Source organism: Homo sapiens, chromosome 5, assembly GCF_000001405.40.
Source record: "Homo sapiens chromosome 5, GRCh38.p14 Primary Assembly".
NCBI classification, from domain to species: domain Eukaryota; kingdom Metazoa; phylum Chordata; class Mammalia; order Primates; family Hominidae; genus Homo; species Homo sapiens.
The window spans coordinates 156,203,593-156,220,320 of NC_000005.10; the positions used below are offsets into that span (position 1 = coordinate 156,203,593).

Below are 16,728 nucleotides of genomic sequence, written 5' to 3' on the forward strand. Positions count from 1 at the left end.
TATACTATGGAAATAAAGATGGATCATCATCTGTATTCGTGTCTGATTTGTAAAGTCCCTCAAAATAATTTATAGACAGTTCCTGGAGACTTCTAGCTGGAAATGAGCTTTCTTTTCATCCATTAAGACTCTGAAAAGGCCAACTGCTGAAATAACTTGTCCAATATTACAGTTAATTAGCGGCAGTGGAGAAAACAGGACCCAGATATTCAGGATCTAGGCAGTGCTCCATCCAGTACTATGACATAGCATAAACATGAGGAGGTAATTTTTTAAAACCAATGATTGAGTTTGTATGACTGGGAATAGAAATTTTTCCAAGTTGGAAAATATATTGAGATCTTAATCCAGTGAATATTTATTGCATATGTATCATGTGCTAAATATTATTTAGTGTTTAAGTCCAAGTTCTCATCAAACTTATATTCCAGTGGCTTCCATATTGCTTAAGACTAGAAATATTGTTTAAATTCATAACTACATTGATGGTTATTAGAGATACCCATAAAAGCCAAGAGTGTGGTTGTGGAAGGTGTCATCCCATTTAGTGTTTTGTTTCTTTTCCTGACTTACTCCTCAACAAGTGTTACTGGACCTGCAGCTCCAGAAGAAAAACAAGCTTAAGAGTGAGGAAATTTTCTCCCTTATGGGGTGGCCAGCACAGAGCTTTTTGTTATGTAGTAAGAATAATACTCCAAAATGATGGTTATGGTGGTGACTTTGTAGCTCATGTGAATCAGATATAATTAATTCACATCATTTCTTGAGGGCTTGCGGTGTGTATATTGTTATATGCTAAGTATGGTGGGTGATACAAATATATATATAAGGTATCCTAGTGAAAGATGTCACAGTTTAACTAGTTTAGCCAACACACTCATACACACACACACACACACACACACACACACAATATCATGTGAACTAGAGTGATTTTTTGATTGATACTACATGATTACATGCCAAATGAATGATGTAGGCATATACGTGTCAGCGTATGGGATCTTGGCAAGTTATGTCACCCTTCTCAGCCTCACTTTCTTCATCTGAGAGAAAGGGGTGATAACAGTATCTCATGAAATTGTTGTGAGGAATAAATATAGTTATATAGCTGCTCATATGGGGCACATTATGTAACTGGTATTAAACAAACTGGTTTGTGTTTTTCTTTATCTTCACAATTGGAGAGGCAAGATCACAATGAAATAGCAAGATGTAAGTCGTAAGTAGCTACTTAAAAATAAGTGGCAGAGGCTTATAATTCGAGTGTAAACTTTTCTCCACTGTGTTATCTGACAATGAGTAATGTAGGAATACAGGTATTGCTACAACCGTGATCTCAAAAGACCAGAGAAATTGTCACAGAAGGCACAGAGATGTTGAATCTTGAGATATTAGCAATGAGATGGACATATATTATTTTCACCTGAACAATATCAATTGCTGTTTTGCTGTTTTTCTATAATAGCATATAGATTTTTACTGTGGTAAACTGCCCTTCCTCCATCAGAGTGGGAGGTAAATCAAAAGCTCATGGTGCATTCCCAAAACAGACTTCAGAACTTCCAGACACCCAGACTTCCTCTGCTTATCTGGTCACTTTCTTTCTGAAAGCCTTGAGTTTTCAGGGATACTCCATGATCCTGCATTAAATTGCTTTTATGGGTAGGCTGGTAAGAGTTAAGATTCTTTTGTTGGAAGCTGCAGAAACAAACTAATACAGGTTACAGTTGACATAAAATAGTAGCACAAACAATGGCAAATAAATGAAGAATTACGAGACACAATGAGTAGATAAGACTAATAAAAGGCAATGTTTATGCTGAAGAATAGTAGAAGAGAAGCTTAGAAAGGTTGAATTAAGCTAGATTGTTGCAGATTTTGAAAGACAATCATACAGGCTGTCATCGTATAAGACAATAATCTGTTGTAATATCAGAAATCTATTGAAAGGGTAAATGGCTATACATTTTATCCTATTTTTTAGTGTCTGTGAGTTTTCCAGCCAATGTACAGAATGTCCTTGATATCTGTAGACTATATCTTCTGAAAGTGCAACTTGGATATATATACTTTTCCATAAAGGTACAGGATAGTTACTTCTACCTAAATGAAATACAGCAAATTCCTAACACTTTTATGTCAGTACCTTGTTAACATCAATAGTCCTAATCTCTTTGTATGTGGATGAGGATAAATTGTACTTGGGGAAATACAGTTATCTAGGAGTCAATGGGATTCTCGTCGTCCTAGCTCCATTACAGATGAGGTAAATGAACATGGACAACTGCTTAAGCATCCCTAGACCTCTGTTTGGTCATTTGTTCAAGGGAGATGACCTGTCCTGCCATGTCTATTTTTCTATGTTGCACATATATGTGTGTGTATATATATATATTTTATATATATATATTATATATTATATATATCTGTGCACATATACAAATGAATATGTGCATCTATGTCCATATATATGTAGACTTACTCATATTTAGCCATACTTTGTACTCAAAGATCATGCATGATATATATTATTTTATACCTTGGTGTTTTTACCCAATGGTATATCTTGAAAATGACTCCAAGTTTTTCATAAAAATGTGTGAAAATTGTTTTGTACTTCAGAATACTTCATTGTGTGTACGTACAGTGGTGTGTTCAACCAGTCTTCTGTGGCTTGGCATTCGGGGTTTTCCCAATATTTTTTGGTCACAATTAATACTACCATGAATAAGTGCACATGTTGCTTAATTATTGTGGACATATTTTTTTGGATAAAACACTAGATTTTTGGGTCATAGGATGAATATATATAGAGTATTCTTAGGTATTGCAAAATTCTTCCTAGGGATTGAAGCCCTATGCAATTCCACTAATAGTGTATGAGGTTACCTGTTTCCCTATGGCCTCAAAAGCATAATTTGTTTTTGTTGTGAAGCTCTTAAATGTGGCCAGTCTGATCAATAAGAAATGTAAACTTTATTATTAATTAATACAAGACCAGTGTGGTTAAATGGCTTTATGTAACATCTTAAAAATTAAAGTTTTACCAAGGCAAGTATGGGACACCAAGGCATTTAACCAGAAAGATGTAAAAGTTAGATCTTGTATACTATAAGTTTGGCAGTGAATAATTTTTTTTTTCATTCAAGGAAGGGCTGCTTCTTTGTCTCATTTTTTTGAGGATTTGTATGGCATAGAGCATATAGAATATATCCAAAAGAAACAAGTAATTTTTTTACATGAAAATGCACTGCCTTATTCAAAGGTGACTCCCTAGGCTCTTGAAAAGACTGATAGTTATTTTTTTTTCCCCTGCACACTTGGCCACATGTTTACAGGCTCCAATATCAGGTGATTGAATGATAAGACCTAAGCTGAAATGTTTATTATATCAAAAAGATATTAATAAAATGTTCTTTTATTGGTGAATATATCCCTTTGAGCTTGCCAACCGTGTTTTACTTGAAATGTTTTTAGAAAGGATGATTTAGATCAGAGAAACACCTGCCTGTAGTGGCCCTTTGGAGATTTTAGATCTCACTATTTTGAGAAAGGCAAAAATCAGCTGTGTGGGAGGGTATGACTTCTACTCTTCAACAGAGGTCACTGCATGTACACTTTGATGTCTTCAAGATACTTGTGACTCGGTCAATATAATTTTTAAAATACATACAAGTTGTAATAGGAAAAAATTCAGTAAAATGGCATGGAGAGTTCATGTTTTTGGGGGCCCAGCACTGTACTTTATAACCTAAAAAGTCATTTAATATTTCTGGACCTCAATTTTTCAAACCTCTAAAATGTGAGCAGCTTAGGCTAGTTGATCTCTAATGTCTTTAATAGTTCGAAAATGTGCTCATGATTTTAATTATACTATCAATCTTTGCTGTCTACATTTAACCCACAGCACTTCCATAGGGAATATGAAGGTCTACATAGAAATTAGCTTGATCTAGAGTTTTAAAAATCTTTCTTAAAATTAGTAGTTTGGTGCAAAAGTAACTGCAGTATTTACCATTAATGGCAAAAACCGCAATTACTTTTGCACCAGCCTAATATTTTAATATAAATTGTAAAGAGTCTATTGATTGTTATATACCATAGAAATTTGAAAATGGTAAGATAAAGAAGCTACCACTTACCTAAAATTACAGGTAGGAGCCAGAGGCAGAAAGAAAACAAGTGTTCTTTATCTACATTTGTAACTGTGCAACAAAAATTTTATATATATGTATATATAATGTAATTGATCATCTTGATAGGCTTCTTTTTCCTGAATAGAAAAATTTAAAATTGAGGTGAAAAGCAGAATTGACTGGTATGTTTACTTATAGTCTTCATCCATTAAAGCATAATTGTTAAGAACCCTTTATGTAAAACCATGTCTTTAGATATGAAAAGTTAGACACACAATTTACCATTATCAATAAGCATACAATTTAGCTGTGAGAGATAAAATATAAATCAATGAGAAGAATTACAAACATAAATTCTAAAATACAAGTTATAGTAACTATTAATATGTAAAGGAATATTTATAATCAGTGGAATTAATCCAAGAAAGCCTTTTACATGAGAGCAACTTTAGTACACAACTTGAAGACAGTCAGTCTGCTTCTCACTGTGGATTAAAGCCCAGTTTTGCCTGTCTTCAAGAGCTTGACTGTTCAAGTAAGCAGTACAAATCAGATGAAACAAACTTCAGGCCTATTTTAGATTTTAGTTTTATATGTTGAGAAATTACTCAAAATAAAGTAATTTGTGCTTGATGACTCAGAAGCTCAGGTAATGTTCTCTGCATCTTCTGCCTTTTAGGGTTGACTGCCAGGAACTAGCATTCTGACTCTGGTTTGTAAGAATAATTAGAAGCACTTATGATTCAGCACCTTGGAGAGCTACATGAGGATGTGGGTGATATAGGTGTATCATCAATCAACCAAAGGATTGGGGGTTATCTGGTTTTATTGAAAATGTTGACTGCACTGCTTGAGGAAGATGGACAGTCTTTTCTGACTTTCTGTACTTAATAATCACAATGTGCCTTAAAATATTCAACTATTTCTCTACTGAATATGATACTTATTGTGTTTGGTCTTACAATTATGTCTTCATTAATTGTCTTTGTGCTTATATTCTTCTGCTCTGGTGCTCTTAGTTCCGTAAAGACAAACTCCTAGTTGGTCATCATCAACATGGTGGAATAGAACTTTCCAGCATTTGTCACTCTGCAGAAGCATCACTTTGCACAACTATCCATTCAAGAAAATACCTTCACAAGAACTAAGGAAATTATAGCACCTACATGTAGCACAAAAATAAGAAAAAATGTATCAAAGAAGGTAGGAGGGAAAGTCTTACAGGATCTCCATCACTCTTCTTCCAAAATCAGGCAGTACAGGCTGGAGAGAGATACCCTCCTCTTGGGGCGAGTAGAGGGAAGTGAGCACCAGACATTGCCTCAGACTCTAACACCAGGCTTATTGCAGTAAAATAAGGCACTAGACAGGCCCCCCACAGCCACAGATTCCAGGATAACACCCATGAGCAAAGCCTGCAACCCATTTACTGCCAGGCAGAATTTCACAGCCTCTGGCTTTTAGTCTGCACAGAGGACTTGGTCTCTGTGTTTTCTCCACTGCCAGGCCAGCCCCAGTGGCCCCAGATTCCAGACCAGTGCTAGATCAACCCTCAGAGCACCAGGTTTCAGGCCTGCTGCAACACCAAGCTGGCTTCCATAGCTCTAGTCATCAGGCTAGCTATTATGGATACAGGCTTGATGCCAACTCAGTGCCAAGCCAGCCTCTGAGGCACCAGGATTACTCTAGGTTACAGATCAGGCTTGCCTCAGCACCAGGTCAGCACTCCCAGCTTCAGGCACCAGGCAAGCATCTGCAGACACAGGCACAAGGCCTGCCCAGCGCTAAGCCCATTCATGTGGCACAACATTCCAGCTGACACAGGCTCAAGGACTGTTCCAGTGGCCTCAAGGACAAGTACTGGACCAGCCAAAATAAACCCAGGTTTCAAGATCACTCCTGTAAACCCAGGTTGCAGGTTGGCCCCCACAATCTCAGGATTAAATCCAATAATGTGGGCATAGGTTCCAGTCCAGCACCCACACATCCAGCCTCAAGGCTGGCACTTGTGGCCTCAGGTCTCAGCAGACCTTGTCTCAGCCCATCATTGAAGACCCCAGTGCCAGGCCAATCTCTGTAAACTGAGGCCCCAGAACCCCTCTGAAGACCCACACTCTACACCAGGTCCCTTACACCCAAGACCCAGACCTGCCCCCACAAATTTGGGCCTCAGTGCCACTATTGGGCAGTGCACAATGGGCTCAGATCCCAGGCTCGTTCCAGTGCCAGCCCAACTTCTGCAAACAAAGGCTCAAGGCCACCTCCAGTATCAGGTCATCTCCTGTGGACCCAGGCTTCAGATTTGCCCTTGTGGATACAGGCTGCAGGCCTGCCCTCATGGGTATAGTCAATAGGCATGCAACCATGGACTCAATAAAAAGGTGGACTCCTATAGACCTAAGCTCAAGGCCCAACCCCACAGACCCAGGTAGCAAACCCACCCATCTGCCGACCCAGGCAATAGGCACCCATCTGCTCACCTAGGCCAGCCTGCTTAAAAAGACTTCGGCAACAAACTCAGCTACAGGCCAAACCAGATGTCCTGCCCAGAATGTTTGGATGGGCTGACTAGTGAAGGACTTTTCTGGATAAAGCCGGTGTGTGAAGACTAGAATAAGCCGCTGCTTTGACAAGTACATAGATATTAATATAAGGCAACAAGAAACATGAAAAACTAAGGAGACATAACAGCACCAAAAGGACATAATAAAATCTCTCAGTAGCTGACCCCTAAGAAATAGAGACATATGAACAACCCAACAAAGAATTCAAAATAGTCATTTTAAGGAAGCTCAGTGAAAATCAAGAATATACAGAGAAACAGTTTAATGAAATCAAGAAAAGAATAAATGACCTAAGCTAGAAATTTAACAGAGATTGAAATTATGTTTAAAAATCAAACAGAAGTCCTGGGACTGAAAAATATAATTAATGAAATGAAAAAAAATGCAATGAAGAGATTTAGAAGCAAAATTAATCAAGCAGAAGAAGAACCTGTGAACTTACAGACAAGTTATTTGAAAATATACAGTAAGGTCATTGAAAATAATGAAAGGGACTGAAGAAAGCTTATGGAATTTACAGAAGAGCATCAAAAGAGCAAATGTGCAAGTTACAGGAGTTCCAGAAGTAAAAGAGAGAGAAAATGGGGTGGAAAGCTTATTTAAAGAAATAATAGAAAACTTTATAAATCTGGGGGAAAGAGTGAATATCCAGGTACAGGAAAGTCAAATAAAATTCAGTCATGCCAGACTACACCAAGACATATTATAATTAAACTGTTAAATAATCAAAGACAAAGAGATTATCCTAAAAGCAGCAAGAGAAAGGGAGCATATAATATGTAATGGAGTTTCAATAAGTCTAATAGCAGATTTCTCAGCAGAAATCTTACAGGACAAGAAACGTTGGATGATATATTCAAAGTGCTAAAGGAAAAAAAAACAAAAAACAAAGAATACTTTACCTGGCAAAGCTGTTTTTTAGAAATGAAGGAGAGAGAAAGTCTTTCCCAGACAAACAAAAGCTTAGAGAATTCATTATGAACAGACCAGTCTTAGAAGAAAGGCTAAAGATAATCCTTAAAGATGCAAGGGCCAGGCGCGGTGGCTCAAGCCTGTAATCCCAGCACTTTGGGAGGCCGAGGGGGGCGGATCACGTGGTCAGGAGATCGAGACCATCCTGGCTAACACAGTGAAACCCCGTCTCTACTAAAAATACAAAAAAATTAGCTGGGCGTGGTGGCGGGCGCCTGTAGTCCCAGCTACTCGGGAGGCTGAGGCAGGGGAATGGCGTGAACCTGGGAGGCGGAGCCTGCAGTGAGCCGAGATCGTGCCACTGCACTCCAGCCTGGGCGACAGAGCGAGACTCAGACTCAAAAAAAAAAAAAAAAAGATGCAAGAAAACAGTGATAATTAGTAGCACTAAAACATATGAAAGTATAAAACCCACTAGTAAAATTAAGTATATATCAAATTCATAATATTCTAATAATATAAGGAATGATGGTATATAAATTACTTATATCTTTAGTGTAAAAATTAGAAGACAAAATTATTTAAAAAGCAATAGCTATAATAATTTTTATAAGATACACAAGATAAAAACAACTAAATTCTGACACCGAAAACAAAATGTAGGGTTGTGTGTGTGGAATTAAAGTGTAGAGTCTTGGTATGTGGTCAAAGTTAATTTGTTATCAGCTTAAAATAGCCTGTTATAATTTTAAGATGTTTTATGTAAGCATCATTGGAACCGCAAAGCAAAAACGACAAGAGGTACACAAATGATAAAAAGTAAGGAATCAAAGCTTAACACTAGAGAAAATCACCTAATCACAAAGGAAGCCAGCAACAGAAGAAGAAAGGAACAAAGGACCTACAAAACAATCAGAAAATAATTAACAAATGGCAGTTGTAAATCCTTACCTATCGATGACTACCTTGATTGCAAATTGATTAAATCTTACAATCAAAAGTTATGGAGTGATTAAATGGATTTTAAAAAGATCTAAATGTATGCCATCTGCAAGAAACTCACTTCTCATTAAAGAACACATATAGAGTGAGAGTGAAGGCATGTTCTTTGCAAATGGCAACCAAAAGAGAGCAAGGGTAGCTATACTTAGATAAAATAGACCTTAAGTCAAAAGCTAAAAGAAAGAGAAAAAGAAGGTCATTATATAGTGATAAAGGTATCAGTTCATCAAGAGATTATAATAATTGTAAATATATGTGCACCCAACATTGGAGCATCTAAATATGTGAAACAAATATTAATAGATCTGAAGGGAGAAATAGATTGCAATACAACAACAGTAGAGGACTTCAATACCCCAATTTTAGCCATGAACACATCATTCAGAAAAAAGTCAACAAGGAAACATCAGATATAAACTAAACTTTAGACCAAATAGAATAGATCTAATAGAAATACAGAACATTCCATCCAGTCAGAGCAGAATACACATTCTTCTCAAGTATACGTGGAACATTTTCTCGGATAGATCACGTTAGGCCACAAAGCAAGTCTTAATGCATTTAAGAAGATTGAAATTCTATCAAGTATTATTTTCTGTCCACAATGGCCTGAAACTAGAAATCAATAACAGGAGCAATTTTATAAAATTCACAAATACATGGAAATTAAACAACATATTTCTGAGCAACAAATCTGTCAAAGGTAAATTAAAAGGGAAATTTAAAAATATCTTGACACAAATATAAATATACATTTATCATCCCAAAACTTATGGGACATAGAAAATGCCAATTTAATAGGGAAGTTTATAGTAATAAATGTCTACATCAAAAAAGAAAAAATGTTCTCAAATAAACAACCTAATTTTATATCTCAAGGAACTAGAAAAATAAGAATTAACTAAGCTTAAAGTTAGTAGAAGGAAGGAAATAATAAACATGAGAGCAAAAACAAATGAGATCGAGACTAGAAAAACAATAGCAAAGATTAATAAAACTAAGGGTTGTTTTTTGCAGTGATAAACAAAACTGTCAAACCTTTAGCAAGACTAAGAAAAAAACTCAATATAGGAAATGAAAAAGAAGACATTACAAGTGAGACCACAATAGCATGTGACTGCTGTGAAAAATTATGGGCCAAAAATTGGGCAACGTGGAAGAAATGGATAAATTCCAAGAAACATACAACCTACCATGACCAAATCATGAATACACAGAAAATGTGAACAGAACAATAATGAGTAATGTTATTGATTTGGTGATAAAAAGTCTCCCACTGAAGCAAAGCTTATGGAACTGATAGCTTCACTGCTGAATTCTATCAAACATTTAAAAAAGAACTAATATCTATTCTCCTCTACCTCTTTCAAAAAAGCTGAAGAAGGGCTACTTTCAAACTTAATTTATGAAGACAGCATTACCGTGATATTAAAACCAGACAATGCCACTGTAAGGAAAATTTAAAAATACAGGACAGTATCCCTAATTAGGATTAATGCAAACATCTTCAACAAAATACTAGCAAACTGAATTCAACAGCACATTAAAAGTCATTCATTGTGATCAATTGGGATTTATATCTGGGATTTAAGCATTTTTCAACATACAGAAATCAATAAATGTGATACCTCACATTAACAGAATGAAGGACAAAATCACTATGATCATCTCGATAGATTTGACATAATTGAACATCATTTTATGTTAAAAACTCTCAGTAAATTAGGTATAGAAGGAATGTACCTCAACACAATGAAGGTTGTGCATGACAAACTGAAAGCTAACATCATTCTCAGTAATAAATAGTTGAAAGCTTTTCTTCTGATATCAGGAGCAAGACAAGGATGCCCACTTTTACCATGTCTATTCAAAATAAGATTGGAAGTCCTAGCCTGGGTAAGTAGACAGGAAAAATAAATAAAAGGCATCCAAATTGGAAAGAAAAATGTTAAATTATCTCTGCTTGCAGATATCAGGATCTTAATACACAGAAAACCCTCAAGACTTCACAAAAAACTATTAGATCTAATAAATGAATTTAGTAAATTTACAGGATACCAAATCAACCTACCAAAATCAGTATCATTTCTGTACACTAACAACAAACTTCTGAAAAATAAATCAAGAAAGCAATCCCATTTAAAGTAGCTACCAAAAAATAAAAGAAATACTTAGGATAAAATTTAACCCAGGAGATAAAAAAGACCTGTATGCTGAAAACAATGCAATATTGATGAAAGAAATTAAAGAAGCCATAAATAAATGGAAAGATATGTCGTGTTTATGGATTGGAAGAATATTGTTAAAATGTTCATATTACACAAGTGATATAAATATTTTACAGATTAAATATAATCTCTATTAAAATTCCACAGAAATAGAAACCATTCTAAAATTTTTATGGAACCACAAAAGACTTTAAATAGCCAAAGCAATCTTGAACAAAAAGAACAAAGCCAGAAGCATCACATTACATGATTTCAAATTATATTTCAAAGCTGTAATAATCAAAACAGCATGGTGCTAGTGTAAAAGCAGACACATAGACCAATGGAATGGAATAGAGACTCCAGAAATAAATCCACGCATTTACAGTTATTGATCTTTGACAAGGGTGCCAAGAACACACAATGGGGAAAAGACAGTATCTTCAATAAATTCTGTTGGGATAAATGGATATCCACATGTAGAAGAATGGAATTAGACCCTCATCTTACATCAGATGCAAAAATAAAATCAAAATGTATTAAAGTCTTAAATGTAAGACCTAAAACTGTAAAACTACTACAAGTTGAGCATCCCAAATCCAAAATCTGAAATACCTCAAAATCTGAAACTTTTTCAGTGCCAGTGTGACTGATGCTCAAAGGAAATGCTCATTGGAATATTTTGGATTTTGGATCTTAGAATGTGGGATGCTCAACTGTTAAATCTAATGCAAATATTTCCAAATGAAAAAAATGATATCCAAATCCAAAATACTTCTTGTCTCAAGCATTTCAGATAAGGGATATTCAACCCATTGAAGAAAATCTAGGGGAGAAGCTCCATGATATTGATCTGGATAATGATTTTTTGGGGTATTAGCCCAAAGCACAGGCCAAAAGGTAAAAATACACAAATGGGATTGCATTAAAATAAAAAGCTCATGCACAGTAAAGGGAACATCAGAATGTAAAGACAGCCTTTGCACTGGGACAAAATATGTGCAAACCATACATCTCATAAGGGATTAATATTCAAACTATGTAAGGAACTCAAGAAACTCAATAGCAAGAAGACAAATAACCTGATTTACAAATGGACAAAGGACCTGAACAGACATTTCTTAAAAGAAGACATACAATAGGCTAACAGGTATATGAAAAAATGCTCAACCTCACTAATCATGTAAGAAATGCAAATTAAAACAACAATGAGATATCACCTAACACCAGTTAGAATGGCTATTATCAAAATGATGAAAGATGGCTGTTATGAAAAAAGTGAGGATGTAGAGAGGGAACCCCCACACATGGTGGGAATAAAATAGTATAGCCACTATGTAAAATTGAGTGGAGGTCCCTTCCAAATTAAAAAATAGATCTACAGATCTACCATGTGATCCACCAGTCACACTAGTTGATATATATACAAAGGAAATGAAATCAGTATGTCAAAGATATAGCTGCACTTGCATGGTCATTGTAGTATTATTCACAACAGCCTGACAGGAAATCAAACAAAGTTCTATCAATGGGTGAACAGATAAAGAAAACATGGTATATATACATAATGGAATAGTATTTAGCCTTAAAAAAGAAATCCTGTCATTTATAACAATGTGGATGAACCTGGAGGACATTATGTAAAGTGCAGTAAGCCAGGCCCAGAACAAATAACATGTGATCTCACACCTAGAATCTAAAAATGTTGAACTCATTGAAACAGCGAGTGGAATTGTGGTTATTAAGAGGCTGGGGAGAGAGTAGTCGAGGAAATGTTGGTAAACTGATAAAAAATTTCAGTTAGACAGAAGGATTAAGTTCAAGAGATCTAGTGTACAACAAGTTACTACAGTTAATAACAATGTATTTATTCTTCAAAATTACTAGGAATAGATTTTAAATGTTCTCGCAACAAAAATGATAAGTGTTTGTGGTAATGCATGTATTAATTTGCTCAATTTAGCCATTCCACGGTGTATACATATTTCAGAACATCATGCTGTGCACAATAAATACATGCAATTTTTAGTAATAATTTAAAAAATGAATTTCCAAGTTTGAAATAATAAATTGGTTTGTTTATGTAAGCATCTGTGTAAAGCATGTTAATACTTATTTTATTACCAGCTCTCTCTTATGTCACTACCCATGAGTCTCTTGAGTCCTGCATAGCACCTTTTAAATACAATGTGAGATTTGTTAAAAAGAGAGTAAAAGCATGCATTTGGCACAGTTTTGTAATTTGTATTCTTCTAATCTCAAGCCTTTAAAAACATGTGTTATAGGGATGAGGTAAAAATATTTTGAGAAAATATAGGAAGAAAATACCTAAATAATATACATTTTGAAAAAATTAAAATGAGTATAAGAAAATGAATGTGGCCGGGCGTGGTGGCTCACGCCTGTCATCCCAGCACTTAGAGAGGCCGAGGTGGGCAGATCACCTGAGGTGAGGAGTTCGAGACCAGCCTGGCCAACATGGCAAAACCCCAACTCTACTAAAAATACAAAAATTAGGCAAGCATGGTGGCTGGAGCCTGTAATCCAGCTACTCTGGAGGTTGAGGCAGGAGAAACACTTGAACCTGGGAGGCGGAGGTTGCAGTGAGCCCAGATCGTGCCACTGCACTCCAGCCTGGGGGACAGAGTGAGACTCCATCTCAAATAAAAAAAATAATAAAATAAAAAAGAAAGAAAGAAAATGAATGTCGCATGTTAATAGTAAGAGTTCTTAGACCAAAAAGTATTAACGTGATTGACAACAGGGTACGTGACTCTTTAAACATTGACCTCACTGAAAGTGAAATTTGTTGTAAATATACTTCTGTTAAGTGTCTTAGTGTTAGACTGAAATTTATTCAACTGTGAAAATTTTTAAATTTGATTTTTAATACTGTAGTGAAACGTATTTTTGTTTTAAGGGTTATTTCAAAATCAAATCCTAATCTTTCTAAGAATTACATTATTATCATACCTCTATAGATCACCAAGGAGTTATACTAGCCATGGTTTTCTAAGGTAACCATCAAATCATATTTTTTCCTTCTTTTCTTTTGGCTTTCTTTCTACGGTTGATTTTCAAGTACAGGGGATTCATGTGGGATAACATTGCAACAGAATTTAGTGTCTCCCTAACTTTTCATTTCAACTGTACTATTTTTACACAAACAGCAGTTCTTATTTCTCTCTTTTAGTTTAGGTAAAATGCTGAGAATGCTTTAACCCAGAGATACTTAAACTTTTGAACTCTACAACAATTTTTTAATTGCTTCAAAAAATTTTTAATCAGGCAGGGCATAAATAAATTAATTTAAAAATACAGATATTAGTATTTTGATCCATATATAGCCAGGTAAAAAGAGAGTAGATACACAAATAAGTGAATGTATGTATGTATGTATATATATATACACACACACACATACATGTGTGAGAATTTTAAAAATTATTTCTATATCTAGTTTATTCTTTCATTATAAAAATCATGGCCAGAATCTTGTAATTATTTGCTTAATGAAGGGAAGAATCTCTAATATAATTTTAATAACAGCCTTAGACTTATTAAAATGATGTTTCAGTCTGGGTGTGGTAGCCATACCTGTAATACCAGCACTTTGGGAGGCCAAGGCAGGCAGATCATTTGAGGTCAGGAGTTTGAGACCAGCCTGGCCAATATGGTGAAACCCCGTCTCTACTAAAAATACAAAAATTAGTCGGGCATGGTGGCATGAGCATGTAATCCCAGCAAATCGCTTGAACCTGGGAAGCGAAGGTTGCAGTGAGCCGAGATGGCGCCACTGCACTCCAGCCTGGGCAACAGAGCGAGACTCCATCTCAAAGATTAAAAATAAAAATAAAATAAAAGTATGTTTTGATGTTGTCTTTCAAACAACATGAAAGATATTACATATATCACTCTTTGGGGGAAAAAAGAGAAGAAAAAATTAAAATGATTCAAATTTACTTAAAGTCTTGAAGGAAAGAAAATTGCAATAGATTTTTAGCATCTAGTTATTTCATAAGATGGCAAAAAATTAGTAGAAATTAACCTAACCACATTTTGAGGCTGAAATTGAACCTTATGGCCAGCAGTTTATATTTGAGAAAACTTAATCACCTTCAGTTACCTAACCTGGAATTTTGCTGACATGACTATTTTTGCCTGAACCCTTTTTTGAGGGCTTGATGAGGCTGGCCTGAATTTTGTGTGAGAAAGGTCAGAGTCATAAGCCAGGTTCCATTCTTACTCTATTTCCTGGTCACATTTTGTACAACTACCCACAGTCATTTCTTTGCAAGCATTAGCACTCTTTCTACCAGTGGGTGAAAGAAAGGCCAAGTCCCTGTATGTACATGTGTATATTCAGCCTGCCAATATAAATAGTGCATTAGCTTATTTTTACTGTTTTCATGTTTATCTTAAATTTCCAGAAAATAATAAATATCCCCTATTTATACATAATGCTGTCTTCTTTCCATCTCCATTCCATAGGAGGCCTAGTACAGTGTTTTGTACATAGCAGACTCACCTATCCAGTCATTTTTTTACTCACTCGCTGTCCTGTCTTGTCATTATCTGGTAATAGAAATGTGTCATCACCTCAAAGGAGAAGAGATGTTCATAAGGAAGAAATTAATTTAATCATATGAGTGTTTCTGGACAGTTTCTTACTGTATTTTTTTGTACCGCTACTCAGTTGAGAATTTCAATGCTGTCAGTCAAATGACCTAGCTAGATTCTTACTTTGCAACCTTGCGAAACTCATTGGACCCCTTATCTACTTTAGTTTATTCATCTTTATAAGAATATTCACATTCATTCAACTTTTCCTATATTAAGTATCATATAAGGATAGAATTGGGGAAAAGTGAAAATGCTGGGAAAAGATAGTTTTTAAAAATGCTTATTCAATTTGTTAAAAATAAACACATCGATCATGTACATATAAATACACATATATACACATATGTATGTGTGTATGCATTTCTTTAATGAAGGAGAATTTCCATTCTTGTCGGACATAGTAGGTCAGTATAACTTATATCGACAAGAATGAAAATTCTGAAAAAATAAAGCATCTGAATCTGATATTTTTGCACATACTCTGCGTTGAGAAAAAATTTTTTCACATGATTAAGGATCACCAAGTGTGTTAAAATGAGACCTTGTGATTTGAATAGATGAAGCTTCATTGAGAAGTGGCTGTAACTCTGTAATACTTTATTGAGGTCATACTAAAAATAGAAGCCAAAGCCTTAGCGCTTAGTGCTGTCTCTTAGTGATATAGCTACAACTGCCATTTCTGCTATCTAGACCTCAGTTGACTCAGTGACAGCTGAGGCCAGCCATAAGCTTTAGTAATGGTGGAAATAGTTAATAATCTCATCTGCTTCTGTGTAGCATTCAAAGTTTTAGCCCCGTATTGGAGAAGTATTTTAGATCCTATTATGCAGAGGCAGAATTCACAAAAATACCAGGACAGCTGCTGCACATTTTGTATTAGTATTAACAGTGCCAGTTCAGAATGTGATCTTTGCATTTAAGTTCTCAGGTATAAGGTTACAATGTTTTAGGTCTTGGGCTATTTTAACCCCTTTGTAGAGTTTGATGAATACTGGAGGCAGGATATAAGACAAAATACATATCTACACGTAGCTACTTTTAGTTAAAACCTGATATCCTTTTTATACATATTTAAGAATTCATACGTGCTGGAGCTGTCATGGTAATTCAAGGTTTAGGGAAGGAGCATTTCCAGTTTTGTTTGTTATTTGTTTTGCAAAGTGCTACCTTTATTAATATGTATTTCTGCAGTTTTATTGCTATAGAAGTCCTGCTCCTCAGATTTTCAATTTACACTTCAGAGTACTAGCAAGGTACGTTGGAGTTTGTTCCATTTTGATG

The 16,728-nt window shown here is 35.3% G+C and overlaps 1 protein-coding gene across 4 annotated transcripts in view, besides 1 other annotated feature; it reads left to right on the forward strand.

Annotated features, from left to right (window-relative positions):
- SGCD (sarcoglycan delta) overlaps positions 1 to 16,728 on the forward strand; it is a 1,039,957-nt gene that overhangs the window by 475,761 nt on the left and 547,468 nt on the right. The window lies entirely within an intron of this gene.
- Positions 4,794 to 4,994: a silencer, noted in NCBI's record as "peak5548 fragment used in MPRA reporter construct". NCBI's record gives its function as "represses an SCP1 promoter by STARR-seq MPRAs in K562 erythroleukemia cells {active_cell/tissue: K562}" and the evidence as "EXISTENCE:reporter gene assay evidence [ECO:0000049][PMID:32103011]".